The sequence below is a fragment of the Homo sapiens genome, chromosome 3 (assembly GCF_000001405.40).
Source record: "Homo sapiens chromosome 3, GRCh38.p14 Primary Assembly".
NCBI lineage: Eukaryota > Metazoa > Chordata > Mammalia > Primates > Hominidae > Homo > Homo sapiens.
In genome coordinates, this window is record NC_000003.12 from 11,472,982 (window position 1) to 11,487,486 (window position 14,505).

The 14,505-nt window shown below is 42.5% G+C and overlaps 1 protein-coding gene across 33 annotated transcripts in view, besides 1 other annotated feature; it reads left to right on the forward strand.

Annotated features, from left to right (window-relative positions):
* Positions 1–14,505, forward strand: part of ATG7 (autophagy related 7) — a 303,957-nt gene that overhangs the window by 200,585 nt on the left and 88,867 nt on the right. For 3 of the 33 annotated variants that reach the window (XM_047447294.1, XM_047447302.1, XM_047447305.1), the window contains one exon: positions 4,153–4,327. The exons of the other annotated variants lie outside the window; for them this stretch is intronic. In XM_047447294.1, coding sequence (XP_047303250.1) covers positions 4,153–4,161 — 9 coding nt within the window. In that variant the 3' untranslated portion in view covers positions 4,162–4,327. Of the gene's footprint in view, positions 1–4,152; positions 4,328–14,505 lie in introns of those variants that run through there. 33 annotated transcript variants of the gene reach the window in all.
* Positions 7,443–8,048: an enhancer, noted in NCBI's record as "OCT4-NANOG hESC enhancer chr3:11521898-11522503 (GRCh37/hg19 assembly coordinates)". NCBI's record gives its function as "activates a minimal SCP1, AML or CMV promoter by ChIP-STARR-seq in primed H9 embryonic stem cells {active_cell/tissue: H9 hESC(primed)}" and the evidence as "EXISTENCE:reporter gene assay evidence [ECO:0000049][PMID:30033119]".

Here is a 14,505-nt window from a genome sequence, read left to right on the forward strand (position 1 = left end):
ATACTTTCCTTTCACTTTTTTTTTGTAACTAATCAATGATTTCTGACATTCAGTGACTGCTTGCTTCTGCTATTAGGTGACTTTCTGATATTCAGCCCTGACTGCCACTTGTCCCTCTGACCTAGCCATAAAATACTAATATTTGCAGCTCCCTCTTATATGGTGAGGAATAATAAAACATTATAGCACTTTGGGCTTTGTTTCATTTCTTCCCATTGATAGCTTTTTTCCTGCCACTGTCAGCATAGCTATTTCCCAGCATGTTTTTCCCTCCAGTTCTGCAGCCACATAGTATTTTCTGACTGCTATCACCTACCCAGGAAGAAAATTGTCACTTACTGAGTACCTGTTTTCTGTTAAGTATACCAACAGGACTTTCCTGCAAATCATCCCATTTATTTTTCATAGCATCCCTTTGTGGGATGGATATCATTATCCCCACTTAAAAAGATGTGGAAAGTAAGGCTAAAGGGAGGATAAATAATTTGCCAAATGTTTTAGAACGGATGGAAAAACTCGGGATTCAGTTCTGAGTCTACTAACCCTGAAAGGCCGTTCTCCAAGAATAAGGCTAGAAGCTTTAAGATACTGGAAAAGTATGAGACCCCATTTCTGACCTAAAGGCAAGGATCAAGACTAACACATTTGAAACAATGAGAGTGAATTTAAGATAGAGTCACTTCTGAGTGCTGTGTGATATCATCTATTTGCAGTGCTGTTGAAATTCAGAAAACAGTTCTGCCTCCAGATTCTATTTATCTTTGAACCTGACTGGGAATATATATTAATATTAAATCAAGACTTTATTTTTAAATGTAACCCTAGTGCCAGTTTCATAATATACCAATTCACTATTTGGTTACTGTGCTGTGCTCAGACTTCTGTTGAACCCCAAAACATCAGCGAGCCCTCAATTTCTGTGCATACGTTCAAACCTCAGGTCCCCTGCTTTGTAGATCCCGTGAACTCCCTGATAAGCACAGGTCACATTTACCAACTCTTCATTATACATCTGATTTGGCAAGACAGTGGCCAGGGGAAGGTGTTAATCTGTGCCCAGGTTATATGCCACTTAGTTGAGTTCAGTTCAGACTTACCAAGTGTGTAGTAAGCCAAGTGCCACCACCTGGCAGGTGATTTGCAGGGCTCACTGGGGGATACGACATATTCATCCAGTGTCTTCTGAATGCTCAGCACTCTTCTAAGCACTGGGGACAGTGGCAAGACAGACAAGGCAGGGCCTCTGTTTTCATGGAGCCTACTTTTCTAGTTCTATAAATAAATGAAAAAAGTCACTTTCAGCTAGTGATGAGCACAGTGATTAAAATAAAACAGAGGCTGGTGCGGTGTTTCACACCTGTAATCCCAGCACCTTGAGAGGCCCGAGGTAGGTGGACCACTTGAAGTCAGGAGTTCGAGACCAGCCTGGGCAACATGGTGAGACTCTGGCTCTACAAAAAATACAAAAATTAGCTGGGCATGGTGGTGTGCGCCTGTGGTCCCAGCTACTCTGGAGGCTGAAGTAGAAGGCTCATCTGAGCACAGGACTTGGAGGTTGCAGTGAGCCAAGATCATACCACTATACTCCAACCTGGGTGACAGAGTAAGCCCCTATCTCCCCATCTCAAAAAAAGAAAGAAAGAAAACAGAGTGTTTGGATGAATTGGTGTGGAGGGTGGGAGTCGAGAATAGATGTCAGGAGTTAATATAAACTGGCAGGTTGTCAGTAAAGGTCCCTCAGAGTAAGTGGCTTCTGAGCTGAGCCCGGAATGCAAAGAAAGGAGCCAGACATGTGAGGAGCTGAGATGACCCTCGTCTAGGCGGAGGGAACATCCCATGTGAAGGCCTAAGCAGGGAATAAGCATGCTCAGTCTAAGGATGGGGTGGGAGTGGGGGGCCGGAGCCAGTATGGCAGCAGTGCAGTGAATTAGTGGGGAGTGGTAGGAAGTGAGGTTGGCAATAGAGGGAGCACGTGACACGGGCTCTTGCAGGCTGTGAGACCTAGCTTATGTTGTGTTTGAAGCAGGAGAGTAACAGGAGTGACTTAACTTTTTTTTTTTTTTAAATCCTGGCCACTGTGTGGGGAATGGATTGGGTTATAGAGGAGTAGAAATAAGAAGGTTTGGGGTGAATGCTGGGCAAGGTAGATTATATTGTTATTGTTATTGACATCATAGACCAGGCCAGGGAATTTGGATTTGCTCCTAAAGCTAATGATGTGTAACAATAATAGCTCCCATCTCTTGAATACCTACTGTGTTCCAGTCATGCGGGTTTATGTGCATTCCCTCCTCAAGTCCTTATACACACCCACAAAGCCCCTATCCACTGGGCTTATTATTAATGTCACTTCTTATAAAGGAGGAATCTGAGGTGGACAGAGCCTAGGTTCTGAGCATTCCTTAGTGAGGAAAGGGAACCAGAGCTGCATGATGGGCAGGGGGCTGGCGAGATGCGTCAGGATTCACATGGCAGGACCTGGAGTTTGGCAGGGACTTTGAGGTGCAAAAGAGAAGACCCCTGTTGGGAGCACACATCCCAGGGCGGCCTGCATGTAAACTGCTGGGAAAAGGGCTGCGGGGGAGGCTTAGATAAAACAGACGCGGATGCTACCCTCTGCAGTCTGCAGATCAGCAGGTGATCAGGTAGACCTCTCACCCAAAGCAGAACATGGCAAGCTCCTGAAGGAGAATTTGTTGATACTGTTAACTTAGCATGTCAGAAAAATGTCCCAGTGTCAGAATTGAATTCCTATACCTGCTAGGTCAGTTTTAAGCTAAAATGATCTTGCAAAACCTGTTGACCCATTGATACCCTGTACCCTAAGTAGGCAGTTGGTATTATTTCTTAACTTTGGTTCGTCTATGTCCATCTCTCTGTCTCTGAGACACACACACACACACACACACACACACACACACACACACCCCCTCCCAGAGTCCGAGCATTCTAGAGTTTCCTAACAGTGCAGTTGTCCTGTCTGAAATGTTTACATTGGGGAAAAAATGAACCCCTGCTGTGATTTTATTTCCCCACAGGCTCTAGGGGTCTTTTCATAGCCGCAAGGCATCATCACAGCTTCCCAAGGACTAGGGTGTTTATGTGTGCACAGAAACCACACTGCAAAGGGTCAGGTCCTCTCCTTTGTACCCTAAGGTGTAGAGAAAGCTGGACCTCAAAACTGATGTCACCTGTAAGAACAGTTTTTGCTTTGGTTCTGGCTTTTTCTTTTCCTTCTTCCTTGAGAGGGCTTACTATGTTGCTGTTAGTTTTCTCCCAGCATTCATTCACTCTAGCAAAATCTGGCTACATATCAGTTTGTAGAAAATGGGCACAATTCTAGGAATAGCTGTCCTAATGTGTTAGCTCAATGCCGTGGATGCGTCAACAATGGCTGGTAGCTGCCACCAGTTGACCTGAACTTTATGTGGTTTTTCTTTTTTTTTTTTTTTGGTTTTTCCTTAGATGAGAACTACTGTTTGCTAGAGCTGAGATAAAACCATTTCAATTAGAACCTTGTATCAGAATATAATTACTCCTCCCAGAGATAGAGTCCTGGCCTGAAAAGTGAGTACAAAAAATAAATAGGGACAAATAGAAGGAGAATGATTACTGGTACAAGGTAGATGGAATGGTAACTCACTTTATTCTCAATGATGTTATACAAATCAAATAAAACTCTATTCCCATTTATTTTATTTTAGCCGAGTATTCTTGTCCAAAATGAAAATCAGATGTTTTTCTTCTTTTTCATTTTTTTCCAAAGCAAATGGTTACAAACACTTACTTAATATAATTTACTGGAGCTTTTTTCTGAAAGAACATTTATGTTAACTTTCTTTTATGCATGTAGTAACTTTTGATCAAAACATGACTCCACTCCCTTGTTTAATGTTGAGCATCTGGATTAAAGGCTTCTTTTAATCTTAAATACAGATTATGGCCCTCTTTCCCTTTAAGCAAACTGCCATAAAACCCTGGCACCTTTCCAGTTTTCCTTATTAAAGCCCTCTTTATTACAGTGTTTTCCGATGGCAGTCATTAAATGATTGTTATGCACAATGGGCACTTGATTATAATTATTTAACTGGCAATCAGTTATTGCAGCAATTTGGTGGTGTAATTAAAAGGGAGCATGTTTGTACCTGCCAGCATCTTTGAGATCTTCGGCTCTGGATGAAGCAGGAGAGGCAGAACATAAACAAATGGACGGAAGAATCAAGCACTTCTGTGAATGGAATCTTTTATTCCTCGCCCATCTGATTCTTGGCTGCTTTGTTCCATAAGGTAGATGAACAATGATGATAAAATAAAATGTAAATAAGAATTTTTGTGCTACAAACTCCTGAATCGATAAATACGTTCAGTAATGAATGTAAGTTTCTCCATGTGCTGTGAAATGCTAAATGGATAGAAGTGTATTTATATAATTCTATTTCTTTTAAACACAAGCATCAGCATGTTTTCTCCCTCTAATTTATAAATGTCAGCACTTATTTCTTGATATATAAATTGATACAGGATGCCACAAACAAAAAGTTGCCGCAAAAGATAAGGGCGTTTGTTAGACACAGCTGGAAAGCTTTTTAGTCACTATAGAAGTTAGCAGGAATGTGATTCCAAAGTTAAGATGGCCCTCCTGAGTTATTCAGAACTCTTTCAGTTGTAAGTTGCAAATTTTAACCAACCTGAACAAGGGGGAATTTTTTTGCTTATGTAGTTGGAATGTTACTGGAACTACTCATAGGATTACAGGAAGAACTGCAGGAACCAGGACTCAGGGCTAGGAACTGGGAATCAGTACAGCCTAGACGCATTCTCTGTCCATGTCTCAGCTGAGCTTGCCTGTGTTTGGCTTCATTCTGAGAATAGTCTTACAGCTTATTTCTCCCTGTGGCAGGAAACAGGCCTGATATCAGTAGCCCCAGACTCCCATCTTCTTAGCTTAACTCCAGTGGAAAGCAGTCTCTATCTTCTACCTTTCATAAGTCAGTCTCGGGAAAGGATTCTGATTGCCCCTACTTGGCTCATATACCCATCCCTGGACTAATTCCTGTTGCCGAGTAAATAGCACAGTATGATTATCCTGCCTGGATCCCATGTAATACCTGTGGGTAGGGCAAGGAAGTTGGAGTCCTGTGACCGACAGTCTTGTTAGAGACATTATTAGTATGACCCCATCGGTGGTAGCTAATGACTGAGAAAAACATGGTGATTATTTTCAAAAATGAGTATGAAAATCTAAAGTATCCAAACTTAAAAAAAATTATTTAAATGTTTTCCCAGAATGAATCTCTATCTCTCTTTTAGAAACATCCCATTTTGTAAGACCAAGGTATGAAAGTATTCATCTGAGTTTCAAATGATTGCCTAATCTTACCTGTAATCATTATTGAGAACCAAACACCCATTAATGGTGTGGTCTAAGGACAAGGTCCTGAAGAGATGAGACTGGCGCATATTAAAGATGCCTGCTATGATGATGTGGCTGTCATGGCTACATTATCATGAGGGATTTGGAATCTGGGGTTCCAGAGAGCACGTTTTTAGCCACTATCTCTGACTATTAAATCACTTACAACAGCTTTGGATAATAAAATTCTCTGTTTCTCTCTTGGTTTGGTTCCATATTAGAATCTGCAAGTGCAAAGGCAAAACAGTCAGCAAAACAGCAGACTTAAATAGAAAAAAGCCCCAAAAGGAAAGGAAAACAATTGAAAATTTAAAAGAAAAACACCCCCACCCCCAAACATGATCTAATCAGTCTTCCTTATGGAGAAGTTATGAATCATCCTACTTAGCAAATAAGACAATTGAATGTGCAAGCCCAAACTTGAATTAAAGTTATTCTCAACTTCCTGTTTCTCTTATTAACATGCATTTATTATTTAATAAGTATTTATGTATATAATTGAGATATTTAAGCTCTGGGTAACTTAAGTGGCTGTAGAGTACTACCTGAACACACAAGGAGAAATAAACTTTGAATATGTGCCTGTATATTTACAACACACACACACACACACACACACACACACACACACACACACACACACACAATTTTTTACTTTGTGGATACTGGCCACCACTTGAAGAGTTTCTTGGGAATCTAATCTTCTCAATGGCAGGCTCCAGCATTGCCTTTGCCAGTAGTTTAGTTCATATGGACTTGATGCCAATTTTCTTTTCACATATATGAAATAACAGTTTGGCACATAGTAAATAAAACAGTGATTCCACAGAGAAGACTGGCACCTTTCAAAAAGTGAATTGGGCAGGTTCAGAGCTAATTTTTTCTTTAGGTGAACTGAGTTTAAATTAAATGTTGCAAGAGATTACCATATTTGTGTGAATTTCAAGAAGTCAAAGGCCGTGGCAATAAAGTATTTTCATTTTATAGAGTTTTTCTTGGAAAGGCCACACACCATATGACAGCAGAGTGCTTAAAACCCAGAGCCTGGTGCCAGCACAAAATCCAAACATCGTAAAGTTACTTCCAAAGCCCAGATATTGACCGATCCCCTCTCTTGGAGCAGTGCATCTTTCAACTAGTCCAAGTCCACCAGCCCAGAATCACCCTCCCAGCCTCAGATTTCAAGTTGGAAGCCCAAAGTAAGGCATGTTTTCTAAAAAGGAAAGGAAAAGCTATTGGATAGCAATTGTCAAGAGTCAAAAAATAAATAAATAAAAATAAGAATAAAATAAAATCATCCCCAATGGAGGAGCTTTAGCAAAAGAAAAGGGAGACATGCCATTGGTCACTGCTGCATGTATGCATTGTCCCTCGGTTGGTTTTTAATAAACCCAGCTAACCTCCCTCCACCAAATTGCCTGTATCTCTCCTTCTCCACTTAGGGCTGTGTACCATTACTAGAATATGAAATAGTGATTTGAAGGGGTCATTTGTTCAGGTTTTCCAGGCTTCTGCACTGCCTGCCCTGGAATCAATTTTTTTTTTTTTTTTGAGATGGAGTCTCCCTCTGTCGCCCAGGCTGGAGTGCAGTGGCACAATCTCGGCTTACTGCAAGTCCCGTCTCTGGGGTTCACGACATTCTCCTGCCTCAGCCTCCCAAGTAGCTGGGACTACAGGTGCCCGCCACCATGCTCAGCTAATTTTTTTTTTGTATTTTTAGTAGAGACGGGGTTTCACTGTGTTAGCCAGCATGGTCTCGATCTCCTGACCTCGAGATCCACCTGCCTTGGCCTCCCAAAGTGCTGGGATTACAGGCATGAGCCACCGCACCCGGCCTGGAATCAATTTTTAAAACCTGTCTGGGTGTGGGTGGCTTATGCCTGTAATGCCAGCACTTTGGGAGGCTGAGGTGGGAAGATCGCTTGAGGCCAGAAGGAGTTCAAGACCAGCTGGGCAACACAGCAAGACCCTGTCTCTACAAAAACATTTAAGATTGGCTGGGCGTGGTTGTGCATGCCTATAGTCCCAGGTATTTGGGAGGCTGAGGTGGGAGGATTGCTTGAGAGCATTATTGGGAGGGGGTGCGATGGTTTGCGGCAGGGGGCCGAGGCTGTAGTGAGCCATGATCACATGACTGCCCTCCAGCCTGGGCAACAAAGTATGAGACCCTGTTTCAAGAAACAGACAAAAAAACCTTACAATCTGTGCTCACTGGTTTCCTCGACTTCACCTAAAGGGTATCTGGGAAGGTTCTGCCTCCCCTCTGGGCTGGGAATGTATGCAGAAGACTTCTTTGAAAGCTTTGCTCACAAGGACTTGAAACCCAGGCTTCTCAGTGAATTTCCATAACAATTCACTGCCAAGTCACACAAATCTGTCAAGGAAGGCTTTCCTGGGAGAGCGAGGAGGGCCTATCCACTGGGTGACAGCTCGGCAAGTAGCCTCCAGTCCTGGCCGGCTGGGCCTCTCTTCTTCCCAGTCCAGCATTAGACTTCACTACCACCTGCTAATACATCTGAGGAGAGCAAGAGGTCCTGGTCACAGCAGATGATCAGAGTTGGTGCCAGGAGTGTAAACAAGTCATAAATTACTCTTAATTCTTCTAGGCAAGGGATACTATTAGTCTTCAGTTGTGGAAAAAATGTACTCCCTTTAATGTCTTATTTATGTAATAGTTGATCCTCTTGTATGACTATAAATTTGTTTTCTTCGGCAAGCATTTCCCAAGCATGTGCTTTGTGCAGAGCACTGTGTAAGCACCTACTGTTGAGAACAAATATAGGAGTTAGGGTTTAACCGGTACAAGGTTTCAGCTGGGGGCAGATAAGAAGTTCTGAGATGGATGGTGGTGACGGTTGCACAACAGTGTGAATGCACTTAACGCTACTGAACTGTGCAGTTAAAAATGGTTATAATTGTAGGTTTTGTTAGATATATTTTACGATGATAAAAAAATTTAGGGTTCTTACACTTTTTTAAAGTCAAGGTGAACTATGTATTTGCTGTAAGTTTTAAGTTTCACATATTTCCCCTAGCAAAATGTAAGTGTATGTGACTTACCACAAAGACCTAGAATTTCACATTTCTTATATTTTACGTGCAGGTGCTGAGGTCATTATTTCTCAGATTTGTCCTGTTATGAGAATATTACCTAAGATCTTATCTAAGTTAACAAATTATTATCCTTTGCATCAGAAATAAGAGCAGGATCTCCTCTAATGAATTGTATAACCTTTCCTGGGTTGGGCCTTGGACTTAATGTCAGCACCACCACAGTGCCAAGAATGACGAGAGCTTTGTTGAGCTTGGAGCACAGGGCTTCAGCTCCTATCTTGAGACTTGGTGAAGTGGATAAAGCCCTGAGCTTTAGGCTCTGGTTCCTGCCTCTGCCTTTGAGTAGGGGTGTGGCTGTGCACCAGTCATTTAATCTTTGTGGACCGCAGTTTATTTATCTGTAAGATGGGAGTGAAGGCCAAAGGCCTTTGGCCTGGCAAGAGTTGTCAGGCCCAAACACGGGAATGTTTGTGAGAGCACTTAGTGCTATGCTGGGGACCTAGCAGGTGGTAAGTCAGTGTCATGCCCCTTGCCCTTGAGGCTCCTCCTGTGACAAAGGGCTGTAATGAAATGGGGCTTCAAGGAGCCCTTAATTCTCCACGTGTGGGAGCTCATGAGCGGTCCTAAGAATCCTCTTCTCTCTCTCCTGATGCCCCGGTTCCTTCTCTCATCACTGCTTTCTGTGCTCCGCTCTGTCCCGCTTCCTTCCAACTGGAAAGTTCATGAGAGAAGTATATTGATGTTCTGTGAGAAGGGGAATGGCTCTCCCTGAGCCCTTGGCTGGGCGCCACAGCAGCTGTGGAAACACAACAGCGCTCAGCATCTCCTGGTGTTTGGGCTCCGAGCTCTTTCAAGAAACACCCCATGTCCTCACCATCTTACTCTTCAGACCCACCACCTTTCCCTTAGGTTGGAATCTCTTCCCTTGGCTTCTTCTGACCTCTTGTCCCTCAGTCTGTAGCCAGCAGCAAAGAAAGATGCTTATTACTACCGTATCTTTTTGGTGGGTACTTTGGCCTGCTGACTCCTTCAGTAGAATGGAAAGTTGTATCTGGGGGCTGTCACCCTTCCCTTCCTCCTTGTAGGTCCCCCTGCTCCACCTGGGTCTAGGGTACAGTTGGGCCTTACTGAGAGCTAGAATTCCATTTGTTGAAAGACTAGAGTACTTTGATAGGTGGTGTAATTGATCAGCCTCCCCGAATTTATAGTATCCTTGTATATCTTATAAACATCTGAGTGATAGAGAGCTGACCTCTTCCATACTAGCACCATGATTTATAGGGGATATCTAGTGCCAGGCTACTAATCCAGTGCTTTTCAACCCTTTTATTATCATTTTTGTACCTTTTTTTTTTTGAGGTTTATATCATTTGTATACAATTAAGTGCATATATCTTAAGTATACATCTCACTGAATTTTTGTTATCTATATACCTATGTAAATACCACCCAGATTGGGAGATAGAACATTTCCAGGACTTGAGAAGCCCCCCCTTGAGCCCCTTACAGTCAGTACCCCTAATGATAACTACAATTCTGACCTCTATCACCCTAGTTACTTGGGATTCTCAACGTTTTTCCACCTATACCCACCTCTAAGTCCCACCTCTCCTATTTAATATGTAAGAATGCAAAATTATCAGCTATTGTGGCAAAAAGAAACCAAAGTAGTGGTAAATTTAGAAATCCCTTTTCTGCTCTCCTTGCCCCTCACATTTTAATAAGCATTCTCCCCGTCCCCCTGCCCCTAACCCAGGTCATGGAGAGGTAAAGTGATATCCCCATCCTCTCTGGTCAGTCTTGGCATCACAGAAGCTTGACGAGAAGAGAAACAGACACCAGGGCAGCTTCATCCTATTTTCCAGCTGCCCAAAATCACCATATAGTCTTTCTAAGAAGAATCAGACTGTGGTTCTTAGAATTGTCAGATATCCACTGAGCTCCCAACACGCACAGATCTTGCTTTCCTTTTTCTGTCAAAGTAGGATTATCTTTCCCTTGATTATGTTTGAGTTTTCTTGGGGGTAGGGAATACATTTGAAGAGGAGTAACCACTGCACTCCCCTTCCGATGTGCGAATGTCAAGCATGTTGAATTGTCAGTGGCAAGGAATGTGATGAGCAGGTTATTTTACAGGAGGTACACAGAAAGCCCCCATTTTGGCTTCTTCTGCCATATTCAAATCCTTGTATATAGAAGTGGAGCTTAATCTGTTTATCCTAGAGTAAAAATATCTACAAGACACTATTATTATATTGACACTGGAGCCAAATAGGAAATCGGAGGACTCACAGATGTTATCTGCTTTAATGCAGTGGGTTTTGTACACAATGACCCTGCAGCCAATCAGGATGGACTCTACGGTAGAATTTAAAGAACATCTTATTGGCACAATGTTTATTCCTTGGGCTTCGTAGGCTACATTGTGTTCCCAGCATTCTGAGGGCAAGAAAGATGGAGAGAGAGAAAATGAACCTAGCAAGAAAGTATTGGGATAAATTCCATCATTACCCTAAAAATATAATTATAGCACTCTTTGATATAGGGTAGAATTTGGTATAATTTGACAATTACTTATGGGCATGTATTATATGGGTAGTATTGCACAAAGGATAGTTTGCAGCCTAAGAGGAAGGTGATAGGCCAAAACGGTTAAGTCTTCAGGCTGGGCACAGTGGCTCACACCTGTAATCCCAGCAATTTGGGAGGCCGAGGCAGGTGAATCACTGGAGGCCAGGAATTCGAGACCAGCCTGGCCAATACAGTAGAACCCCGTGTCTACCAAAAACACAAAAATCAGCCAGGTATGGTGGCGTGCACCTGTAATCCCAGCTCCTCAGGAGGCTGAGGCAGGAGAATTACTTGAACCCAGGAGGCGGAGGCTGCAGTGAGCCAAAATCATGCCACTGTACTCTAGCCCGGATGACAGGAGACTCCGTCTCAAAAAATGAAAAAACAAACAAACAAAAAAACCACAAAAACGACAAACCCAAAAGGGTTAAGTCTTCAAAGCTGTCTTTTTCAGCATTTTAATCCATAATTTAGGACAAAATTGGCACATCTAGCAGATTCTTGGTGATCCAGGATATTTTCTTTTTCTTTTATTTTATTATTATTATACTTTAAGTTTTAGGGTACATGTGCACAATGTGCAGGTTAGTTACATATGTATACATGTGCCATGCTGGTGTGCTGCACCCATTAACTCATCATTCAGCATTAGGTATATCTCCTAAAGCTATCCCTCCCCTGACCCCACGACAGTCCCCAGAGTGTGATGTTCCCCTTCCTGTGTCCATGTGTTGTCATTGTTCAATTCCCACCTATGAGTGAGAATATGCAGTGTTTGGTTTTTTGTTCTTGCGATAGTTTACTGAGAATGATGATTTCCAATTTCATCCATGTCCCTACAAAGGACATGAACTCATCATTTTTTATGGCTGCATAGTATTCCATGGTGTATATGTGCCACATTTTCTTAATCCAGTCTATCGTTGTTGGACAGTTGGGTTGGTTCCAAGTCTTTGCTGTTGTGAATAGTGCCGCAATAAACATACGTGTGCATGTGTCTTTATAGCAGCATGATTTATAGTCCTTTGGGTATATACCCAGTAATGGGATGGCTGGGTCAAATGGTATTTCTAGTTCTAGGTCCCTGAGGAATCACCACACTGACTTCCACAAGGGTTGAACTAGTTTGCAGCCCCACCACCAGTGTAAAAGTGTTCCTATTTCTCCACATCCTCTCCAGCACCTGTTGTTTCCTGACTTTTTAATGATTGCCATTCTAACTGGTGTGAGATATCTCATTGTGGTTTTGATTTGCATTTCTCTGATAGCCAGTGATGTTGAGCATTTTTTCATGTGTTTTTTGGCTGCATAAATGTCGTCTTTTGAGAAGTGTCTGTTCATATTCTTCGCCCACTTTTCGATGGGGTTGTTTGTTTTTTTCTTGTAAATTTGTTTGAGTTCATTGTAGATTCTGGACATTAGCCCTTCGTCAGATGAGTAGGTTGTGAAAATTTTCTCCCATTTTGTGGGTTGCCTGTTCACTCTGATGGTAGTTTCTTTTGCTGTGCAGAAGCTCTTTAGTTTAATTAGATCCCATTTGTCTATTTTGGCTTTTGTTGACATTGCTTTTGGTGTTTTAGACATGAAGTTCTTGCACATGCCTATGTCCTGAATGGTAATGCCTAGGTTTTCTTCTAGGGTTTTTATGGTTTTAGGTCTAACATTTAAGTCTTTAATCCATCTTGAATTAATTTTTGTATAAGGTGTAAGCAAGGGATCCAGTTTCAGCTTTCTACGTATGGCTAGCCAGTTTTCCCAGCACCATTTATTAAATAGGGAATCCTTTCCCCATTGCTTGCTTTTCTCAGTTTCGTCAAAGATCAGATAGTTGTAGATATGCGACGTTATTTCTGAGGGCTCTGTTCTGTTCCATTGATCTATATCTCTGTTTTGGTACCAGTACCATGCTGTTTTGGTTACTGTAGCCTTGTAGTATAGTTTGAAGTCAGGTAGCGTGATGCCTCCAGCTTTGCTCTTTTGGCTTAGGATTGACTTGGTGATGCGGGCTCTTTTTTGGTTCCATATGAACTTTTAAGTAGTTTTTTCCAATTCTGTGAAGAAGGTCCTTGGTAGCTTGATGGGGATGGCATTGAATCTATAAATTACCTTGGGCAGTATGGCCATTTTCATGATATTGATTCTTCCTACCCATGAGGATGGAATGTTCTTCCATTTGTTTGTGTCCTCTTTTATTTCATGAGCAGTGGTTTGTATTTCTCCTTGAAGAGGTCCTTCACTTCCCTTGTAAGTTGGATTCCTAGGTATTTTATTCTCTTTGAAGCAATTGTGAATGGGAGTTCACTCATGATTTGGCTGTTTGTCTGTTATTGCTGTATAAGAATGCTTGTGATTTTTGCACATTGATTTTGTATACTGAGACTTTGCTGAAGTTGCTTATCAGCATAAGGAGATTTTGGGCTGAGACAATGGGGATTTCTAGATATACAACCATGTCATCTGCAAACAGGGACAATTTGACTTCCTCTTTTCCTAATTGAATACCCTTTATTTCCTTCTCCTGCCTAATTACCCTGGCCAGAACTTCCAACACTATGTTGAATAGGAGTGGTGAGAGAGGGCATCCCTGTCTTGTGCCAGTTTTCAAAGGGAATGCTTCCAGTTTTTGCCCATTCAGTATGATATTGGCTGTGGGTCTGTCATAGATAGCTCTTATTATTTTGAGATATGTCCCATCAGTACCTAATTTATTGAGAGTTTTTAGTATGAAGGGTTGTTGAATTTTGTCAAAGGCCTTTTTTGCATCTATTGAGATAATCATGTGGTTTTTGTCTTTGGTTCTGTTTTTTTTTTTTTTTTTTTTAATTTATTTTTTTATTGATAATTCTTGGGTGTTTCTCACAGAGGGGGATTTGGCAGGGTCATGGGACAATAGTGGAGGGAAGGTCAGCAGATAAACAAGTGAACAAAGGTCTTTGGTTTTCCTAGGCAGAGGACCCTGCGGCCTTCCGCAGTGTTTGTGTCCCTGATTACTTGAGATGAGGGATTGGTGATGACTCTTAACGAGCATGCTGCCTTCAAGCATCTGTTTAACAAAGCACATCTTGCACCGCCCTTAATCCATTTAACCCTGAGTGGGCACAGCACATGTTTCAGAGAGCACAGGGTTGGGGGTAAGGTCACAGATCAACAGGATCCCAAGGCAGAGGAATTTTTCTTAGTGCAGAACAAAATGAAAAGTCTCCCATGTCTACTTCTTTCTACACAGACACGGCAACCATCCGATTTCTCAATCTTTTCCCCACCTTTCCCGCCTTTCTATTCCACAAAGCCGCCATTGTCATCCTGGCCCGTTCTCAATGAGCTGTTGGGCATACCTCCCAGACGGGGTGGTGGCCGGGCAGAGGGGCTCCTCACTTCCCAGTAGGGGCGGCCGGGCAGAGGCGCCCCTCACCTCCCGGACGGGGCGGCTGGCCGGGCGGGGGGCTGACCCCCCAACCTCCCTCCCG